Below are 6273 nucleotides of genomic sequence, written 5' to 3' on the forward strand. Positions count from 1 at the left end.
ACTTCTGAGAGTCATTAATATATTAGCTTTTTCAAATAATTATTTTCTATTTAGTGATTAAACTTTGAGCAGATGACCATGCTGAATAATAACCAAACTAAGACACAGTTAATCTGACACATGATTTGCAATAAAATTAAAAGGTATCTTGGAGCCAATCTAGTTTAATTTCCTCATTATCTAGATGAAGCCTAAAGAAGAAAGATCACTTTCAAAATCCCTGAACACGCCAGTGACACTCTGTGACCAGAACACAGGTTTCCTGACTCTCCTCCAGGGATCTTTCTACATTTTCAAAGTTCCCCGTTAGCTCTCTAGTATCTATAACTATATATATATATATATATATATATATATATATATAATCATTTCCTTAATATTTGGTAATTCTCACAACATAGATATGACATACAGGTACACCTATCTTGGTTATATTTGTCCAAGGGTCTAGATTTCACTTTCTAAACAGCTAGTTCGCCTTAGCTGAGGAGCTAAGCCTCTCTGGGCTCACCTTCCTCCCTGCCACTCTCTCTCGCACCCTGGGCATCATTAAATAACACCTTCCCTATTTATATCCCTCACCAAGAGTTCTCCAGCCCAGACATCTGTAGACATCTTGTAGGCAGAAACTAACCTACAAGATTTGGATGTCCAAGAATAGTCATAGCCTTGGCTCTTCAGGAAAGGAGAAGAACACTAAGGAGAAGGTGTGGTCTATGCTGAGGGTAAAGAGAAGAGATGAGAAGAATTCTGGGTCCTGGACTTCAGGGAATCCTGAATACAAAGTGAATAATGGAGAGAAATTAGAGAAGCCCTTAGAGTAGATGGGGTTCCAAATCCTTGAACTGAAACCAAGAGGAGTTGAGGAACCTCAGTTCTTGTGACACTCTGCCCAAAATAGGCCCTAAGAAACTGTACTTGGGGCAGTTCTGGCTGTGAAACTCCTTTTACCACAGATTAGAGTCCATATGCTTCCCTTCATCTGATATGCATTTGACTTATGAAGGGGAGAATAGCAGATGATTAGATGCCTCAGTTGGAAGAAATTTGCCTCACACTGGTAGAGGTATGTCTGCTACTGTGTAATTTTATAATATAAATTGGATTTAACAACTGCATTCTAAATTATAATTCAATCTGAAACTAGGCACATCCTAAACAAGGAAAATGCTAGAGTGTGAATCACGTATCTTCTTTCTTGGAAAGGCATTGTTTTTGTTTCCTAACAGAGGGTTGATAAAGAGGATAAAAATATGGAAAAAGTTCTCACCCAATAATGTGGCATAAGTCAGAGATCTTCAGTGCTGGTATCAATGAGATTTAAGTTTTGTAGCTATATACTTATAGCTATAAAATAAATTTCTTACTGAAATGTTCTCAGGAAAACAAGTTTATTGCCAGTCTGAAACTCTAATTTCTCTAGCTGCTAAAAGTGATTTTGAAAACTTGGTGTCATTTTTGTTTGTGTTTGGTGTGTGTGTTTGTTTTTAATTAGGACTGCTTCCATTGGGTTATAGTAGGAGAAAGTGTATCATATTGCCGTGACCCATTCCACTCTCTTTCACTTACTTGCTCTCTGTCTGTGATGTTTAAAAGTTCCCTCACACTTAGGTCTGAGCATGTGGGGAAAATGAAAGTGTTTGTGTTTGGAAAGGTAGAGGGGCACTTTTTCCAGGCAGTCACAAATCTAACTGGAAAGAGTCCATAAAGAGATTAAGTTGGCCTTCCAGGCAGGTCCCAAGGGCAAAAGAACCCTGGAACAATACTTTCTGGGTTTTCCAGAGCGGCCTACAGAGCCAATTTCTCAAGTTACTGCTTTTCCCAAGGCCTGGTCTCCTGGTCCCTGTGAGGGCTTCCTGAGCTTCTGCTAGCAGAGCTTGAGAGGTGCTCTTGCTCCTCACCCTCCCCTGTTGCCCTGTGGCTTTCCTCTTTACCAGTCTCTCCTGTCTCTGAGGATGTCATCCTCTGTTAAGCTGGTAGCCTAAGACATGGCATTGAATGCTTCAAGAGGTTTAGTTTCTTCCTTGGGAAAATGAAAAGGAAAACAAAACAAAGTACTCCGCCTGCTACAAGGCCAGCCCTGTCACTCTGAAAGTGCTTTACAATTTTTTGGCTCTTCCTTTGCCCTCTTCTGCCACAGGCCTTGTGTATGGTGTTTCCTCTGCCCTGAATGCACTTCTCTGAGCCAAATTAGATACTGCTCAGCCTTTCCATTGTAATTCATGCACCTCTCCTTCAGCGAAGCTTCCCCAGCCTTCCTTATTTATCTTGTCTTCCTTTTTAAAGCTCTCAGAAAGTCATCTACACTTAGAGATGGTGCAAGAGTGTTTCTGGAAAAGAAAGTTCTTTTCTTTGGGGCAGAAATTAGCTAGTGACTCTTTGGAAGACAAGAGCTCCCATTTGACACGCTAGTCCTCTGCCCCAAAAGAACAGTAGAGCAGGAGCCAGATGCTGAGTTTTAGGTCTGGTTTGCTATTGAGTAGCTGTGCAACCAGGAGCAAATTATCCCTCCTCTCTGGATTCTATTTTCCTGATCTCTTACATGAGGGAGATGCCTAGTCCTGTCCAGAATAAGAATATGTGGGAGACTTTAAAAGAGCAGCAGTTCATGAAATACCACCAGCTCTAGTAATTCTAATAAATAAAATGATAGCTATTTTAAGAATATATTGATGAAAAGTGTCAAACTCTGTAAAAGTATTTGAAGATCTTATTCTGAGCCAAATATGAGTGATCAATGGCCTATGACACAGCCCTGAGGAGACTCTGAGAACATGTGCCCAAGGTGGTCAGGCTACAACTTGGTTTTATACATATTACAGACATCCGTCAATACATGAAAGATGTACATTGCTTCAGTCTGGAAAGACAGGACCACTGGAGGTGGGGGGCGGTCCTTCCAGGTCATGGGCAGATTCACAGATTTTCTGATTGGTGATTAGTTGAAAGCCTTATTATCTAAAGACCTGAAATCCAAAAAAAGGAATGTCTGGGTTATGATAAGGGGGCTTGTAAGGACCAAGGTTTTATCATGTAGATGAAGCCTCCTGGTAGCAGGTGTCAGAGAGAATAGATTGTCAATGTTTCTTATCAGAGTCTGTTCTGTCAGTCTTAGGTCTCTGTGTTTCTGCTAATGCTGGTCAGCTGTGAAGCAGCGCCCACCCACCCCCAGCTCCCCATTTCCTATCATGGCCTGAACTAGTTTTTCAGGCTCACTTTGGAATGACCTTGGCCAAGAGGTGGGGTCCATTCAGATGCTTCATGGGTTTATAATTTTATTTTTGATTTACAAAGATAAAAAGTTGGTAGGAGAAAACAACTTGCCCCTTTGCAAAGTTGACTTTGTAAGTCAGTAGCGAGCTACTCCAAAGCCTTAGTGTAAAAACTGCTGACTCATGGAGGTTCTAGTTACATTTGCTGAACTTTCAAGTTGGATTCAGAAATAGTGAATGAGATGGTATTGTTCCAGGATGTTTGCAGTCTTTTATAAGCCCAGTGTTGTTCAGACCAGGCAATTCCAATCTGAAGGCATGCAAGAATTTAAGTGGCCATTTAATTTAGAGGCAGAAGCATATTTCTAGATATTATCTGTCCACAAATATCAGGATTTTATACACACATGTAAGTTTGTATGTGTATGTGCAAGTTCTTTGTCATGAGGTAAAATTTATTCCATGTTGTGAATTATATAAAAGAGAGTTTAAAAGCCTCTGATTTAAGCTAAGCTATGTGATTAAGCCTTAATAATGTAATCAAAATTTTCATTTGGGATTAGAGTTTATTTAGCAGGAGATGCATGAACATAGTATGAATCATATCCATACTCCAGGCACATTCAGAACTAACTCTTCTGTAATGGAAAATTAGAAAGGGCCTGAAAAAGAAAACTTTTTTGGATTTGCTTTTCATTTTACTATGGATATTGTAATGGAGAAAACATGTAACTATGCTTATTACACAAGACCAGAAAAGTTTCCCTCTGTCTTTTGTTTAACCTACATTATTTCCATACTGTGTGAACTGTGATCATCAGTGACAAGGAAACAATTTAATTGCTTTAAAAAAAAGCTTAGTGTTGACACTAAATATACAATTTAAAGACTTTCATTTCTTTTGAAAATTGGTAATATGGACATGGCAAAGATGATAAAGCTTAGCTAATGCTGGACAGTTGTTTATTCTTTAGAGAGTATACTTTATATGGTCTAACTTAAAAGTATTGTGGGTTTTCCTAAGCAACTGTGTGGACCAGTTGGGTTTGAATATGGCCTTAATTATGGAAAAAGGATGTGGTCATTTTCTTTAGGACAAAAGGAAAGGCTTCACTTAAACTTCAGGACATGTCAGACTGATCTTTCAAGGAACCAGTTACAATGTGGTTTTGATTGCATAGTGACAAACACAGCTTGGTAAAGTTACAAAAGAGGGCCATTGAAAAATACCTATTACTTGTCCAGCTTGAACTGCTACTCTAGGCACTAACCAGTAACTAATTCCTCATGGTCACTGATGTGATATTTAAAACACAGAGTAATCTGATTACTGGTGGTTTGCCACTGTACTGATGTAAGGCTGGCTACTCTTTTTTTTCCAATATCAGTCGTTGGGTAAAAGAGCTTAATTACAACCTTGTGTCCTTCTGCCATCTGCACCCCACTCCTTCCACTTATTAGGCCATGTCTCAGCAAGTTCTCAAAGACTATTGTTTAATATGGTAAAGAAGAAAAGGGTTTGCTATAGCAAGGGTGATAATACAGCTCTCCACTCCTTGCCTCCCTACAACTTCAGGCAGAAGAGCACAGGCCTTGGAGTCAGAAAGACTTGAACTCAAATCTCTACCATTTATTAACATTTTGATCTTAAGCAAGTTTCATAGTCTCTGAGTTTCAGCAAAAACATTTCAAAAATGGCAAATCATATTGCCTACTTTGTAAGCATTTTATATAGTTCTGTAAGATTTTAATGAGATATAAGTAAAGTACTTACCTCTATTCCTTGTGTCTTAGTCTATTCCTGCTGCCATAACAAAATACCTTAGACTGGGTAATTTATAAATAATAGAAATTTATTTGTCAAGTTCTGGAGGCTGGGAAGTTCAAAATCAAGGCACTGGCAGACTCAGTGTCTAGTGTGGGCTTGCTTTCTGCTTCCAAGATGGCACCTTGTTGCTGCATCTTCACATGGAGGAAGGTTCAGAAGAGATGGAAGAGAGGAACTCACTCCCTCAGGGGCTAATCCCATCAATGAGGGTGGAGCCCTCATTGCTAACTGCCTAATCATTTCATAAAGGCCCAGCTTCTTAATATTGGTACATTGGGGATTAAGTTGCAACATGAATTTTGGAGGAGCACGGACATTAAAGCCATAGCACTGGCATTCAATAAGTGTATATTGTAGCTATTATAATAATATTTATCATAATAAAAATAATATTTCAGTTGTAATTCCTAAAATCTTTAATTCCTTGTTTGATGTAAAATATGTTATTCAGGATGAGACTTGCTTTTTAAGGTATAGTTTTCTGAGTGTTGTACCTATTGTGCTATGGGGCTGTACTATGGGGCAAGTAGTGGCCAAAGACATAAATTCATGAGTTTTTGTTATTTGCAATATTTGTAGTTTTCTATACAGTTATATTCTGATGCTTTTCTTTTCATGATAAAAAGCAATCAGAATATAAAATATGTTATGTATGTACTTGGAACTGCCATGTACATACCTGGGTATCATCATTGACTAAATATAAGATTTGTTTGAAAGTTATCTCAACACAAGTGGTAAGTGGAATTAAAAGTGCAATTTATTGAATTTTTAGATTTGTAAAGAATCTAATAACAGATTCATGATGTTTTCTTTTTAACAGATGGGCTTAGGTCACGAGCAAGGATTTGGAGCCCCTTGTTTAAAATGCAAAGAAAAATGTGAAGGATTCGAACTGCACTTCTGGAGGTATTGTTTTGAAAACTGCAACCACATTAGTAATTTATACTTTTTGCAATACTTCCTCAGACAGTGGAGATATCTTCGAGTTCTCCAGCATGGTTGCTAAGTTGCAGACCTGTTACTGTCTTTTCTGAGAAATGAATACAACATAAAAAGTGTTCTGTCTTACTGTCATTAAGTTTGACTTAGTGAATTGGACCATAATAACTATTTAGAGTTGTTGGATTTGCTTGCTGTCTTTAAGATTTCCTTCGAGCCTGAAATACTGAATATATCATCTTTCTGGTGGTAAATAAGTTTGTGGTAATCCTCCAGGACTGTTTAATAATT

General features: G+C 38.2%; 1 protein-coding gene across 2 annotated transcripts in view, besides 3 other annotated features; it reads left to right on the plus strand.

Annotated features, from left to right (window-relative positions):
* Positions 1–6273, plus strand: part of TES (testin LIM domain protein) — a 48245-nt gene that overhangs the window by 18132 nt on the left and 23840 nt on the right. For both annotated transcript variants that reach the window (NM_015641.4, NM_152829.3), the window contains exon 2: positions 5864–5949. In NM_015641.4, coding sequence (NP_056456.1) covers positions 5864–5949 — 86 coding nt within the window. The remainder of the gene's footprint in view (positions 1–5863; positions 5950–6273) is intronic.
* Positions 882–1001: an enhancer, noted in NCBI's record as "active region_26527". NCBI's record gives its function as "activates an Ori minimal core promoter by ATAC-STARR-seq in GM12878 lymphoblastoid cells {active_cell/tissue: GM12878}" and the evidence as "EXISTENCE:reporter gene assay evidence [ECO:0000049][PMID:35858748]".
* Positions 1946–2015: an enhancer, noted in NCBI's record as "active region_26528". NCBI's record gives its function as "activates an Ori minimal core promoter by ATAC-STARR-seq in GM12878 lymphoblastoid cells {active_cell/tissue: GM12878}" and the evidence as "EXISTENCE:reporter gene assay evidence [ECO:0000049][PMID:35858748]".
* Positions 2086–2165: an enhancer, noted in NCBI's record as "active region_26529". NCBI's record gives its function as "activates an Ori minimal core promoter by ATAC-STARR-seq in GM12878 lymphoblastoid cells {active_cell/tissue: GM12878}" and the evidence as "EXISTENCE:reporter gene assay evidence [ECO:0000049][PMID:35858748]".

The sequence above is a fragment of the Homo sapiens genome, chromosome 7 (genome assembly GCF_000001405.40).
Source record: "Homo sapiens chromosome 7, GRCh38.p14 Primary Assembly".
NCBI lineage: Eukaryota > Metazoa > Chordata > Mammalia > Primates > Hominidae > Homo > Homo sapiens.